The sequence below is a fragment of the Homo sapiens genome, chromosome 4 (genome assembly GCF_000001405.40).
Source record: "Homo sapiens chromosome 4, GRCh38.p14 Primary Assembly".
NCBI classification, from domain to species: Eukaryota; Metazoa; Chordata; class Mammalia; order Primates; family Hominidae; genus Homo; species Homo sapiens.
The window spans coordinates 13,886,903-13,902,014 of record NC_000004.12 but is presented as its reverse complement, the minus strand read 5'-3'; the positions used below and the strand labels follow the sequence as shown (position 1 = coordinate 13,902,014).

General features: G+C 39.7%; 2 long non-coding RNA genes across 2 annotated transcripts in view, besides 1 other annotated feature; both read right to left on the bottom strand.

Annotated features, from left to right (window-relative positions):
* LINC01182 (long intergenic non-protein coding RNA 1182) overlaps positions 1–15,112 on the bottom strand; it is a 276,050-nt gene that overhangs the window by 29,214 nt on the left and 231,724 nt on the right. The window lies entirely within an intron of this gene.
* Positions 1–15,112, bottom strand: part of LOC107986182 (uncharacterized) — a 103,624-nt gene that overhangs the window by 34,484 nt on the left and 54,028 nt on the right. The window lies entirely within an intron of this gene.
* Positions 9,019–10,218: an enhancer, noted in NCBI's record as "CDK7 strongly-dependent group 2 enhancer chr4:13893421-13894620 (GRCh37/hg19 assembly coordinates)". NCBI's record gives its function as "activates an origin of replication core promoter dependent on BRD2, BRD4, P300/CBP, MED14 and CDK7 cofactors, with strong dependence on CDK7, by STARR-seq in HCT116 cells {active_cell/tissue: HCT116}" and the evidence as "EXISTENCE:reporter gene assay evidence [ECO:0000049][PMID:35650434]".

Below are 15,112 nucleotides of genomic sequence, written 5' to 3'. Positions count from 1 at the left end.
GATGCTCTCTAATTCTCACAAAATCTCCACAGTATTATGTGCATTACCATTCTCATTTTTCAGCTAAAAATCTCTATTATTCAGGGTTCTCAGAAAGACTGAGAAACTCACTTGAGGTTTCACAGCTAACAACAAGTGATGGGTTGGAACTCAAACCCATATCAGCCTAACTATCTTTTAGCTCCCCAGGCCACACCTTCACTATGGTAGGCCTTACACTCTTTTCTGTTATTTACCTTAGAGAAGAGATAGGGAGGAACTACGGCATAACAAATATAGCTCAATATAAGTTAACTCTGTCACACTTCACTGAATGACCTTGGGCAGAAATATGTCCACTCTCAGACCTCAAAATCCCCTCTGAAAAAATTGAGTAGTACAAATGATCCCATTATACTGCTTCTGATATAGTTTCCCATGATCTCTAAGACTCTATTGGATAAATAGAGACTCCTCAGTAGCTCTTTACAATCTATGAGAGTCCACTGGAAGAAACAGAAACCTTTCTACAAGGCATTCATGCACCTTCATGATCCAGCTCCTGCCCATCTCTCCTCCATCACCTTCCACCCACTCAAACTCACATTCACTGTTCCAGCTCCACCAAACCACGGGCTAGTCTCCAAAGGGAGGGCCACACCTCTGGGCCTTCATGCATCTTATTCCCTGCACTTGGAAAAAAGAAATAGGTGGCTGGCCTTACTGTAAGCTGCTATTCTTAAACATATTTCAATATCTATTTGGCATCAGTGAAGAGAAAATACTTTTCTATTCACTTAAATGTTAAGTACATACATTCTTTCTTAGGTCAGTAAATAACATATCAATTACTATGTCACTTTCTTATTTAAGCTCCTTTGAAACACACCACTCCTATAAGTGTATCGGTGACCAAGGAGAATCTACTCAACATCACAGAGATGATGGAGGAGGGCATTCATGTCACATGGAACATCGCATGTCATAGAAAATAGCTCCATTCCACAAGTCTCTCCTTGAAGGCATATTTTCTGAGCCAGAGCAATGCTGGGCCTTCTCCCAACTCTTCCCCAGCTCCCGTTCCCACTACGGCAGCCCTCTTGGATCTGTCTCTGCCTCTTCAATGCAGATTAATGAGCTCTGTCTGTTCTTCTACCCTAAATGTGCTTACCTCCCACTTCTTAATACTGTTTCAAGGGTCAAAAGCCACACAGCATATTAAGGATGAAGACTGTGTTTTGACTAGAAAACAGAACTTCTAATTGTTTATAATATAGTAAATGCAAAATAAGGCTTTCATTATATTCATCAAATAAGAGGAAAAGCAAGGTGCGTTCCTCCAAGCACAACAGGAACCACAGGTAGAAGCCTAGGCCAACTGGAACCTCATTCCCGTTTGCTTTAGAGATATTTTGTGCCCCTCACAGTGTAGAATCTCAGTTAACTCCCAGCTGACACGTATTTTTATCCAGACTTGCACCTGACAAACTCCTGCTCTCACTGCAAAATTTAGCAGAATGAGGCACCACCTCTCTGTGAAACCTGTCCTGACACCATCCAGTTCCTAATTAAGCCTCTCTTCAGTGTTCTCCAATTTTCATGTGGACTTCAGTATGTCAAAAGAAAAATGTCAGCTGAATTAAATGTAAAGGATTTTAATTGAGCAATGAATGATTCAGGAATCAGGCAGCCTTCCGAGCAGGAGTAGGCTCAGAGACTCCAATGCAGCCACGTGGTGGAAGATTTATGGACAGAAAAAGGAAAGTGACTGCAGAAAATGGAAGTAAGGTACAGAAACAGCTGGATTGGTTGCAGCTCACCATTTGCCTTATTTGAACACAGTTGCAACCGTTGGCTACATTTGATTAGCCAAAACTTGGTGATTGGCACAAGCGTAGGCTACCATCTGTTGCTATAGTTCACGATGTACAGAGAAAACCTTGGGCTGAACTTAAAATATGTAAGAAGGCAGCTTCAGGCTAAACTTGATTTAACAAGTACTATGATTATTTTATGGCATCTACCAATAATGAGGCATTTATCAATTTATCTTTCTTTCTCCTCCCACTAGACTGTGAGTTCCTTAGGACAAAGATTTTGTCTAATCCATCTCTGACTCTGCATAGTCCCAGATTGGATTTGTGTGTGTGTGTGTGTGTGTGTGTGTGTGTGTGTGTGTGTGTGTGTGTGTATGTGTGTTTCCTCAAGAACTTGATTATAGGCCAAGCTGACAGTAAAATTGACACTGAAGGCAAAGCCTGCCCAGTATTCCTCACTTTTAACTCAGGAAAAGGAAGCTGGTCTTGACCTAGTCCTGAGTACAGAATTCTCTGCAGGTGGGAGAAATATGAAGGCAAGGAAACAGGAGGTGATTTGTAAGGGAAAATGAAGCACATGGCAAGTTAGATTCCCCAAGGTTCTTAAACTGGTAGTTAATTGAATCCAGTGTTCCAAGACCTTAATTTCAAACAAGGTCTTTGGGAGAAACAGTCAGTTGCTCTCCCTCAGGCAAAATGAAAGCCCTTTTCCTTAACTCGGAGATGTAACAAAGCTCCTGACTTCTTTCTCCTTAATCCTTGTGCAGTCGGGCTGAGGCCTCAACCTGGGGGGCTTTGGAAGGCAGTTTCTGAGCCTCACTTCTTCCTGCCTATCCCACAACCTAGATTATCTGCAAACCCCAATAGGTATTTTTAAATTCAAAGCTCCCTGCATAAAAATGCCAGACTTGCCAGGAGTGAGTCCTCACCAACCTGACCCAGGCCATATGTAGCCCCCAGGTCTTGATTTGGAGCCAGGGTCCAGGATAAATCTTTCCATCTCTCATATTGCAATTTGCTTTGTCCTTATTAGCATCTCTATATTCCCTTTTGCATTACAGTGACCTCATTCATTCATTCATTCAAAAACAAATATTTACTGAATGTTCACTACAAGTTAAATCTGAAGAAACAGAATAATAGTAGTAGCTGGCAGGTATTGAATTTATCATGCACTGTGGCAAAAATTAGATAAAGAGAAAAATACCTGGATGATTCTCTATTTTATTTATTTGTCACAAAAAATCCTATGGACTAGGTACTATAGCATTGTTATGTTACAGATGAGGAAATGAGGGACAGAGAGAGAATAACTTTCTGAATCAGAATTATTTTGTCTGAAAGTAACAGAAAAATCAACTCAGCATGGCTCGAACAATGAGTGAGATGCATTATCGGACACAACAGGAAGAACAGAGGGAGACAGCTTTAGGATTTGTGAATTCAGTGACTTCACACCTGGGTTATTTTCAACCTTTCATCCTGCCAGCCCCAGAGAGTCACCATAATCTTCAAGTTTGGTCCACAGAGCTACAACCGGGCTATGGAAGTTTCAAGAGCTTCATCCAGACATAAAAAATCCAAAGGGAGAGACCAAGGGCACATATTTTCTTTGTGCCTGTATTAGTTTCCTAGGGCTGCCATAACAAAGTGCCATAAACTGGACAAACTGGATGGCCTAAAACAACAGAAATTTATTTTCTCATGATTCTGGAAGCTGGGAGTCTGAAATCAAGGTGTCAGCGGGGCCAGACTCCCTCTGATACCTCTAGAGAAGGAGATTCCTTGCCTCTTCTTAGGCTCTAGAGATGACTAGCAATCCTTGACGTTTTTTGCATTGTAAATGCATCACTCCAATCTCTTTCCAATTGCTTTTTCTCTGCGTGTATGTCCTTCTGTCTCTTCTCTCATTATAAGGATACCAATCATAATGGATTTAGGCCACACCTTACTCTGGAATAAACTTACCTTAACTCAACTACATCTGTAAAGGCCCTATTTTCAAATAGGGTCATATTCACAGGTACCAGGGGTTAGGATTGAACACATTTTTGGGAAAGACAAAATTCCACCCACAGCAATGTCTTATTTTAAGAGCTAGAAACCCTTTCCTGAAAGTCCCCTAGCCAACTTCTTAGATCTTACTGGCCAAAATTGCATCACATGCCCAGACCTAAGCTAATCACTGCCCAGGGGAATGGGAACCACCAAGATCAGTTTAGACCAATTCGGACCCACCCTAGGGCCTGGAAAAGGTGTGCAATCCCTCCTAAAACAGCACATGATGAGGAGAGAGCAGGTACCAGAACACGGTTGAGGAAGAAGGAAGTGGAGAGAACTGATATCTCTAGGAAGGCAACCAACAGTGTCTGCTACACTTGCCCATAATTCCATATGTATCTGACTCCAGAGCTTGAGGCCTATGAGCTCACAAATCCCCATTTCAGGATTCACTATGGCACCATGCCTCATGTTCTACAAGGCCCTGTGCTGTGGGCTTTGTAGGTGTCTTCTCATTTAATCTACAGGTACACATCATTATCACCACTATCATAGATATGGTAAAATCACAGGCATCAAGCCCGGGGTTGCACAGCTCTTGGAGGTAGATGCTTATGAAATGCAGAAGTCTACAACACCAGGCTGTGAGAAATATAAAGTAAATGTTTACTACATGTGGAACCTGGCCCCTTCCATTTCAGAAAATTCTTTTATTTATTTTCAGAATATTTGAATTTTAATTTACATAAAGCATTTGTATCTCTTATCCCACAATCATAACTAAGAAATCCTGCTTTGTCCACCTAAGTAAATTTTTTTTCTTTTGATCAGTAGAAATTAAAGTACAATGTGAGGGCCTTTGCTCCTCTTGGCTTGCTTGAGCCTAAAAGAATGCCTCTCTCTCAAAGATGAGCAGCTGGTTGGTTTTTGTGGGGAAGGCATACTTATCATGTAATCCATTTCCCAATTTCTTACAATGAGAGCTTTGGTGAGAAAGCCATATGTTCCATGATCAAGGAAGAGAGAGGAGGGTATGGTAAGAGGCGCAGTCTGAAATGGAACATTCAGGCATTTCTTTTGTCACGTGAACAAGGAGAAAAAGCACTGGTCTTAGAGTCAGAATAGATCCTTTCTTAGTTCAGCAATTAAATAGCCTGGCTCTTGAATTTGGGCAATTTGTTTCCCTCGTCAGGGCTCAGTTTTCTCATCTATGAAACAAAGTGGTTAAATTACATAATGTTTAAGTTTTCTTCAGCTATGACACTCAAAGTTGGGGAATATTGTTTTCTGGGTTCACTATGAGCATGTCAACTCTACTTCATTCTCTGCCCTTCCCTCTCTACCCTTCTTACTCTGTACATCTGATAATTTATGATTCTGAGTGGTGACTGTGAAGTAGAGGATAATGAGTTAAAATTATGCTTCCACTGAACAGTTTGGTTTAAAAACTGCTTTCATGGTCACTATGTTGCTTCTTTCTTACAACAGCCCTGTGAGGGTATTAATTTTCTCATTTCTAAAAATCAAGAAACTGGAAAATGTTGGAGCTTGCCCAAAGTTACTCAGCTAATGAGTGACAAATTCAGACCTAAAGTCAGGCATTTGGCTTGCAGTTAGTAGCCAACATATGATAACTCAGCTCATGGGACCCCACAGCACAGCAGCCTCCCCTGCTTCACCAATGCTAAGAGAGCCTTGACTTGATGTTATCTGAAGGAGATATAAGGATGAAGATTAAGTGGTTTACATGGAACACATCTATCTTTGTTGTTTTATAATTAAGCTATCACTTATCCTCAAGAAATCAGGTATAAGAAAAAAACCATCTAACAACAACGTTGTCCTAGAGACAATGCATTACCTTGAGAAAGAGTGAAGGGTTCATCATAGACAATATTTAAGCATAGGATAAATAAACTCCTGATGGGACTGAAGGAATCAGACTTTGGATGAGAATTAACCTTCAGTCTCTGGTGAGGTGTTATTTGCACTAGGGCAATTTAAGCTTGTGTGGAGGGTTATTTTTTTCTGACAGGAATAAATAAATCTGTATACCAGCAATGATCAATTGGAATTTGAAATTATAGATAGAACACCGTTTACAATAGCACCCAAAAAACTAAAATTCTTAGATATAAATCTAACAAAATATGCACAAGATATATATGAAGAAAACTATAAAATTCTGACAGAAGAAATCAAACATCTAAGTAATTAGAGAGATAAACCATGTTCATGGATAGGAGATGATAAGATGTCAATTCTTCCCAATGATGACATGGATAAGATGTCAATCTTCTTAACAAATTCAAAACAGTCCTAATCAAAATTCTAGCAAGTTATTTTGTGGATATTGAGAAAATGATTCTAAACTATATGGAAAGGCTAAAGACTCAAAGTAGCCTATAAAATACTGAAGAAGAACAAAGTCAAGGACTGGCACTACCCAACTCCAACACTTACGGTAAAGCTTGTACAGCCATCAGGACATTATTGTTTTGGTAAAAGAATTGACAAACAGGTGAATGAAACAGAATATATAGCCCAGAAACAGGCCCAAACAAATATAGTCAACTGATCTTTGACAAAAGAGCAAAGGCAATTCAATGAAAAAAGGTAGTCTTTTCAACAAATGGTGCTAAAACAACTGGACATCTACATGCAAAAATAAATACATAAATCACAGATCTTATACTTTTTACATAAATTAACTCTAAATGAAGCATAGATCTAAAGAAAGTGCAAAACTAAGAAGATAACAAAGAAAAGTACTGAGGTGACCTTGAGTTTGGTGATGAATTTTTAGATACAACATGAGCAGCACAATCTGTGAAAGAGAAAAATGAACAAATTTGACTTAATTAAAATTTAAAACTTCTGCTTTGCAAAATATATTGTTAAGAGAATGGAAATAAGAGCCACAGACTTAGAGAAAATATTTACAAAACACATATCTGATAAACACCTTGTAGCCAAAAATATACAAAGAACTCTTAAATCTTAAGAATGAGAAAACAAACTACCCAATTTAAAAAAAAAGGGGGTAAAAGATCTGAACAGACACCTTACCAAAGAAAATGTACAAATGACAAATAAGCATAGGTTTAGTAATCATATTAGGGAATTACAAATTAAAACACTAGGAGCAAACACATAAGATCCTATTATACATTTATAAGAATAGCTAAAATTTAAAATACCAAATGCAAATAAGGTGCAATATGAACTCTCATTTATTGCTATTTATTGCTGGTGGAAATGCAAAATGGTATAGCCACTTTTGAAGACAATTTGGCAGTTTCTTGCAAAACATGAGATACTCTTACCATATAATCCAGGACTCATGTTTCCTGGGTATTTACCCAAATGAGCTGAAAGCTTATGTCCACACAAAAACTTGTACATGAATGTTTACAGCAGTTTTATTTGTAATTACCAAAAACTAGAAGCTTGCAAGTTGTCTCCAACAGGCAAATGAATAAATAAACCATGGTACATCCATATAATGGAACATTATTCAGTGATAAAAGGAAATGAGCTATCAAGCCATGAAAAGACATGGAGGAACCTCAAAAGTATTTGTTAGGTAAAAGAAGCGAGTCAGAAAAGACTGTATGATTGCAACTCTATTACATGCTGGAAAAGACAAAACTATATAGATAGCAAATAAATCAAAGGTTGCTAGGGGTTTCAGAATTTAAGAGCAAGGAAGAGGTGGAGCACAGGGGATTTTTAGGGCAATGAAATTGTTCTATATACTGTAATGGTGGATAGTTGAAAATATGCATTGGTCAAAGCCCATAGGACTGTACAACACAAAAACTGAACCTTTATGAAAACTACAGATTTCAGTTAATAATCATACCAATACTGGCTCATCAGTTTTAAGAATAATGTACTACACTAACGCAAAATGTTAATAGCTACATAAGGATGAGGGAAGGAGAAGATAGTTAATGTGCTCTGGGGTGATCTAGCTGCAACTACTTGTACACATGTTTTGAAATCTTGACAGTTAGAAGCGTGCCCCTGACATTTGAAAGCTGCCAACAATTCTTCTCTTTCTTCCAAGGAGGTGGCTTAGATTCCTCTATGAGGGAAGAGAGAGGCCTTGTTTAGGAAAACACACTTACAGGGCATTTTAATTAGACAAATGTAAAGTAAGAGCCCCTTTTGAAACAGAGAGATCTAAAACAATAAAAATTCAGTTGTGTCTGTAAGATCTGTGACTGGGTGGCCAGACCAGGCCCAGGGTTTAGAGGGAACCTTGGTTATTCTCCCTTAAGGTATCTAGAAAGCCAAGGGCCTGAATCTAGGGTAGGAGAAATGCACTAATTTTGCCTACTCCCTCTACAGGTGCTGTATTAGTCTGTTCTCACACTGCTATGAAGAAATACCTGAGACTGCGTAATTTATAAAGGAAAGAGGTTTAATTGACCCACAGTTCCACATAGCTGGGGAGGCCTCAGGAAACTTACAATCATGGCAGAAGGCAAAGAAGAAGCAGGCACCTTCTTCGCAGGGTGACAGGATGAAGTGAGTGCAAGCAGGAGAAAATGCCAGATGCTTATAAAACCATCAGATCTCATGAGACTCTATCATAAGAACAGCATAGGAGAAACTGCCCCCAGGATCCCATTACCTCCACCTGGTCTTGCCCTTTACACGTGGGAATTATGGGGATTATAATTCAAGATGAGATTTTGCGTGGGGACACAGCCAAACCATACGGGTGCTACTCTGGGCATCACAACTGGAAGACAGGCAAGAGCTGAGGATGCTAGGAGCAACTGTATCTGGTAATACTCATCTGCATTGTCATTCCTTTCTCATTCCACAAGTCTTCAATAGTGTTTTATAAACCACATTATAGAACATTAAAGGACAGACCTGACTTGTGTTTAAGGGAAAGCAATATGAAGAAAATCACAGCTATGAGGAAAGTCAGGCTTGAGGAAGCCAGAAGCAACCTGAAAATAGACTGTTTATTATAATTTATATGTTGAAATCTTTACCCTCCAGGTGATGATAGAATCCTCTCACCCTCTTTCTGCCATGCGAAGACACAGAGAGAAGCAAGCCATCTACAACCTGGAAGAAGACCCTCACCATAACCTGATGATGCTGTCACCCTGATTTGAGACTTCCAGTCCCCAGAATTGTGAGAAATAAGTTTCTGTTGTTTATAAGCCACCCAATTTACAGTACTTTGCTATAGCAACCTGTGTTTGACTAAGTGACAGAGACGATAAGGGCTGTGGGGTTTCTGAAGAGAGAGGGAATGCTCTGTGAGCTGGAGGAAACAGGGCAGATCCTGGCCACACACTGAGAACAAGTAGGATTCAGTTGCTAGTGGGAGAAAGCACTTTCCTGGTAGGAATCAGGGGTGAGCAAATGTGTCAATTTCATAACAAGTAAGTTCCATCTTTAAAGGCTATGTGATATGTTTTTACCAGTCAGTTTGGTAGCAAAGAAATTGTCTCCTTGTACAAATTTTGGAACCAATTTGCCAGCCAGAAGATGACCACATACTCTCTCTCTCTCTCTTTCTCTCTCTCTCTCTCTCTCTCTCTCACACACACACACACACACACACACACACAAACTTTCACAATCTTATGCTGTGTAGGTCTTGCTGTGTAGATGCTGAAAGAATTCCAAAATATGTCTGGCTCACTCTGAAGTTATTTTTCCTTCCCAGGCTTGAACACAAAATTGTGTTTTCATATTTCTTTCAATCCAAGTCCTGCGGATCTGCTTAATAAGATTCAGACTCATTCTTTCTGTCTCAGGAACTGAAGAAAGAGAAGTATCTGGGGTTGGCCCTGCTTGAATTCTCAGCAGACTTCACAATAAAAAAGTTCAAACATTATGGCCTCCAGTCATTTTCTAAAACAAACAAAACCAAAGCAAGCCTGGTAGGCTCTTTGATGACTTATATGACTAAAATCCTCTCTCTCTCATTTTTTCCCTCCCTCCTCCACATACTCTTCAAATGCATGTGAGTCATGCATATGCTTGGAACTCAATTGATGAGTCCCCGCACATCAGTGTGAAATGTCAGTAAGCAAATTAAGCAAAAGTTCTGGCTGGGGAGATAAGTCGAGGTGAAAAGCTGCAGGAGCTGCCTGCTCAGGTCTGGTTTCCTCAGAGGAGGGAGGGCTGGTAGGAGTCCAGGACCAGAGACAAGGCAGTTGTCAAGAACAAGGCTCATGGTCAAAATCAGGACACAGTCAGAGAAGATGCAGGAAGTTGGAGTAAAGCCAAAGCCATCAACCCTCACATGAGGCAAGCGGAGACTCAGTGGAGGAGGAGAATGCATGAGACCCATCCTGGGGTCTCATCTAGCTAAGGCGCCCATCCATACAACCTTCGCCATGTGATTCACTGATACCATATACCCCCAACCTCCTCCTGAGACTCCCCACCATGTCCTGGCCCTAACTAAGAATCAGCTCTTCCCTGGTAACCTGATTCCTTTGCAGTCCTCTCATGTGGAGTCAGCCTGTTCTCAATCTGTCCTTCCATGTTCCTCAGAGTTGCTCTCAGCATGCTGGCCCCCAGCACCAGTCCCAGCTGCCTATGTCAAAGCTTCTCTCCCTCTTGAGTCTCAGGTCCTCCAACTACACGGACCTCCACCCCGCCGCTGCTTTCCCTAACCACCACCTGATTAGTACTCACTCTCATGATAGTCTGATGATGACAGTGGTATCTGGTCCACAGTCTTCCCTTCATCCCATATCACCACCCCAGGTGACATCACGGTCATCTACAGTGGCCAACCTACACCATTTCCAGACTTCTCAGGGTCCTAGCTTCTCATCTCCCCTCTGCATGCAGCACTCACCATTCATCATTCAACAAATAGTTACCAGTACCTACTACTCACTGTGCTCTGAGCATGGTGCTGGGATACCCCTGCCCTCTAGAAGTGCATAGTTTAATGGGAGAGACAGTCACATAGGAGAGGGAAACATAGGAACTCGATCTGGTGGGAAGGATGTGGCAACAGGGCCCCATCCTGCAGAAAGGCAGGATCTACAATGTTGAGATGGTAGATAATCTACCTGGGCTGTATCAGGATCCCATCAGCAGTGGGGGGTAGAACAAGAGGGGTCTAACTCAAGTGGAAGGTAGGGGGAGGCTGGCATGAACTATGTCATGTCTCATAAATCCTTCTACATTAAGTTTTAAATGAGGAAAACCTGATTACCAACCAGAAATCAAGGCAGAAGTTCGATGATAAACATGGGAACTTACTCATCTTTATAGACTGGCATCTAGTGCTATGCTGGATCATGGCAGGAGCTCAGTGAGTGTTTTTCCAACAGAACTCAACCATCATGAACATGATAAGCATAAGAAGGGCAGGAGGGGAAAGCTACAGAGCAATCCACAGGGCACAAAGTGGGCAGGTTGGATACCTAAGCACGACCAATTCTAGATCCCACTTACCTTTGCAGATGGGGCTCATAAAATGCTCCATGATTGGGTTTTCAGGGTCCAGGCCTGGCTTGAGTCCAAGTGGGAGGTGTGAGCATGAGGAGCCAAATAGGCCTGGCACAACAAAGATCAGCCTATCATGGGGTCAGCCTCGCTAAAAAGTAACATGGGGCACTAAGAGGAATCCACAGCAGAATCAACCCTGTCTTCTGCCTAGAAGCCTCTTCTATAACCTTTTCTTGTGGGACAACCACCCAGCTTCCTGGAATATGGACCATCAAACTCTAGAGCAGGTATGCCCAGCCTGGGTCCCCAGCAGAGTCCCCAGACTCACAGGAGGCTTCAAAGACAACCCAGGAATCTATGGGACATTACTATTATCCTTAAAATACTAACAGACATTGAGGATACACATGTGAACCAAAGTATTCTTATTTTTTACTGAAATTAGAACCAACTCAGGGAGCTAACCCTGGACACGGAGATCGGAAACTATGATTAGAGGCTATATGTGCATTTGATTAAATGTAGAGGGGAAAGTGATTCAATATTTATGTTAAGTGTAGTTTTTTAGACAAAAATCTTTCAAAACATGTTGTACTTTGCAAAGTTAATAAAAAACAAAAGGACACCTTGCTATAGAAAGGTTGGAAATCATTTGACAAGAAGCAGGAGACAGTTTGTATATTTCATCAGCTCATTACACCAGGCCAGAAGCATCTCATTCCCTGCCTGAGGAGATGCTGATAATGTAGGGTAATCCTGGGCTCTTAGTCAAGGAACCATGCAGCCTTGGACATGGGGAAGCTGGCTTACCAATCAGCCATTTATGCCGCCTTCTCTGTACAAAGCATATCTGAGGGTCATTAAAGACTTAATGAGTGGGTTCTCTATACAGAAGTATCCAGTTGTATTCCTTGCCCATGGTTCTTTACATTATTTAGTAAAATCACAAGTTTTAGATATTAAGAAGCCTAAATTTAAAACCAACCTCTCTCACTTATTGTGAACATGACTTTGGACAAATATATTAGTGAAGACATGTGGCTGCAAGTATCAAAAATGCTAATAAATAGTGTCTTTAAAAAACTAGGGGGTTTTCTTAAATAAGTAGAATTTGGGTAATCTTGAGATGGAACAATTCTTGAAGGGAATCATCAAGGAACTGGGTTCCTTTCAATTTCTATTCCACCATCTGAGGGAGTATCTAAGTGTTCATCCTCTTTGCGGTATCATCTCTGTTACCCCTCTAGCCATTGCATTCACATGCCAAGTAGGAAGAAGAAAGATAAAGGGCAGAAAGCATGAAATCAACTGAATCTGTCTTTCTTTTTGTCAGAAAAGCTTTTGCTTAATTGGAAGCCTCATTCAGATTTGTGCCTGTGTATCTTCATTAGCATATTGCAGGGACAGTCTGGATAAAAACCAGTTGACAAAGAATTGACATTTAAAGAAAGTGTTACTCAAGGAGTGGTATATAAGGATTTTCTTCAAATAGAAACAAGTGTTCTAAAATTTAAAAGTTACAAATCCTACTGAAGCCCATCAAATACATTTAAATTATTAGTTAAATGTAGTTAAATGCATTAAGATGTTTTTGTTATAAATATAGTTAATAATAGTTTGAATGAGCTAATAATGAGAAAGAAAGAGAGGAGAGAGAAGGTCAAAGATGGAAGGAAAGAAAGAAGAAAAAAGAAGAAAGAAAAAATGAAAGAATAAAGGGAAAAGGGTAGGGAAAAAATCTCATTGTAACTTTTAAAGGTTTAAAAATTGGTAAATAAAAGTAAAACATAAGCATTAATTCTGTCTTTTCTATACCAAGTATACCTGAGGGTAGTCAATGGACTATTGAGGGGGGTTGTCTTCACAGAAGCATTCCAGCTTTAAGAAAAATCAGCGGGCACCATGGCTCAGGCTGTAATCCCAGCATTTTGGGAGGCCGAGGTGACCTCCGATCACCTGAGGTCAGGAGTTCGAGACCAGCCTGACCAACATGGAGAAACCCTGTCTCTACTAAAAACACAAAATTAGCCAGGTGTGATGGTGCATGCCCGTAGTTCCAGCTACTCGGAAGACTGAGGCAGGAGAATCACGAACCCAGGAGTCGGAAGTTGCGGTGAGCCAAGATTGTGCTGTTGCACTCCAGCCTGGGCAACAAGAGAGAAACTCCTTCAAAAAAAAAAAAATGATAAAATTAGAAACTCACATTTTGTGAACTTTAGTAAAATAATGGATCAAGGAATGTCCATGAATGGCTACTATCATCACAAAAAGGAGTCCATTAGACACAATGGAAAAATAAACCATCATCTAAAGATTGAGATATTCTTGCTAAGATCTTCAATCTGAATCTATCAAGCTTCAAGACTGAACTACCAACTTGCAGGAAATAGAGTTGCAGAGGAACATGTTAAACAATGCCACAAGCATGCAATCAGCAAAATCCAGAGTGTGGGAAAGAATGCAGGCCAAATGAGTCATTTTTTGTTTTTTTGGTTTTTTTTTTTTCAACGAATAAGTTGCAAGGGGAAATATAAAAAAAAATAGAGGGAAAAGGAGAAGAGATTTTAAAAGACTGGAGGTACATCCAACAATTGCAATATATAAAACTTATTTGGCTACTGATAAAAACTACTAAAAATATAAAATAATTAGGAAAATTTGAACATTGACTCAATATTTCATTATTATAAGTAATTATTTTTAATTATTTAGATATGAAAATAGTATTGTTATTATATTTCCATAAATAGTACTTACCTATAAAATACATGGTGAAATTCATATAGATTAAATGATATAATGTCTAGAAGTTGCTCCTAAATAATCCAGGGAGAAGGAGGAAATGGATGGAGATGCAGATAATATAATATTGGCCCTGAATTGGTAATTGTTGGAATTGGATTATGGATATATGGGAATTTACTATACTATTATCTCTACTTTTTTATATGTTTGAAATTTTCCATAATAATTTTTCAAACATTAACCAACCTCAGAATGAATCGCATTAGACAAAAGTACTACTGAACTTGGCTCAAAGTGAAGAAGAAACCACTCCGAGTCAATGGTTTTCTTCATGGAACTGGCTACAGTTTCTTCCCAGTGTCCTAATGAAGAGGGCTCAGAGTTGACATCAGAACTAGAGGGCCCTTGTGCTGAAAGTTAAAGTAAAACAAAATGTAGAATTTCCATTCCAGTCCCTGTATCATCTTCACAAAATTCTGAGTTTAAATTCATTATAAACTCCTAAACTATATGATCCTACTCAACCGTAAAAATCAAAGTATGATTGCTGCAAATGATCAAAAACAGGTAAATAGCATCTGGTTAGAGTATTGTGGTTTAGCAAAACTTCTTTTTTTTCTGAGTATGCTCCCAGTTATACATTCATATATATTTCCACATAATTATGAGGTTTTTTAAGGAAAGAAAATATGATCATAGAGAAGTAAGGTTATTTGAAATTCATCCCAAATTAAATGTTTGTTCACTCCATCAACAAATATTTGAGTGTCTACACTCTGCTGGACATTGTCTTGGGTTTACAGAGGCACTGCTGAGGACAAACAAAAGGTACAGCTACTGCCTGGTGGAGCTCACAGCATGGGGAGACCTAGGAAAACAGAACATATATTGTAAACACCCAGGAATACCTATAAATTACAACCTAGGTCCATAGCAGCATTATTCCCAATAGCCAAAAGCAGAAGGAACCCGAGTGTTCATCCACAGATGAAAGGATAAACAAAACGTGGTATAACATACATGGAATGTGTATAACATACAATGGAATATTATTTTGCCTTAAAAGAGAAGTACACTCTGACATATGCTACAATATGGATGAACTTTGGGTACATTATGCC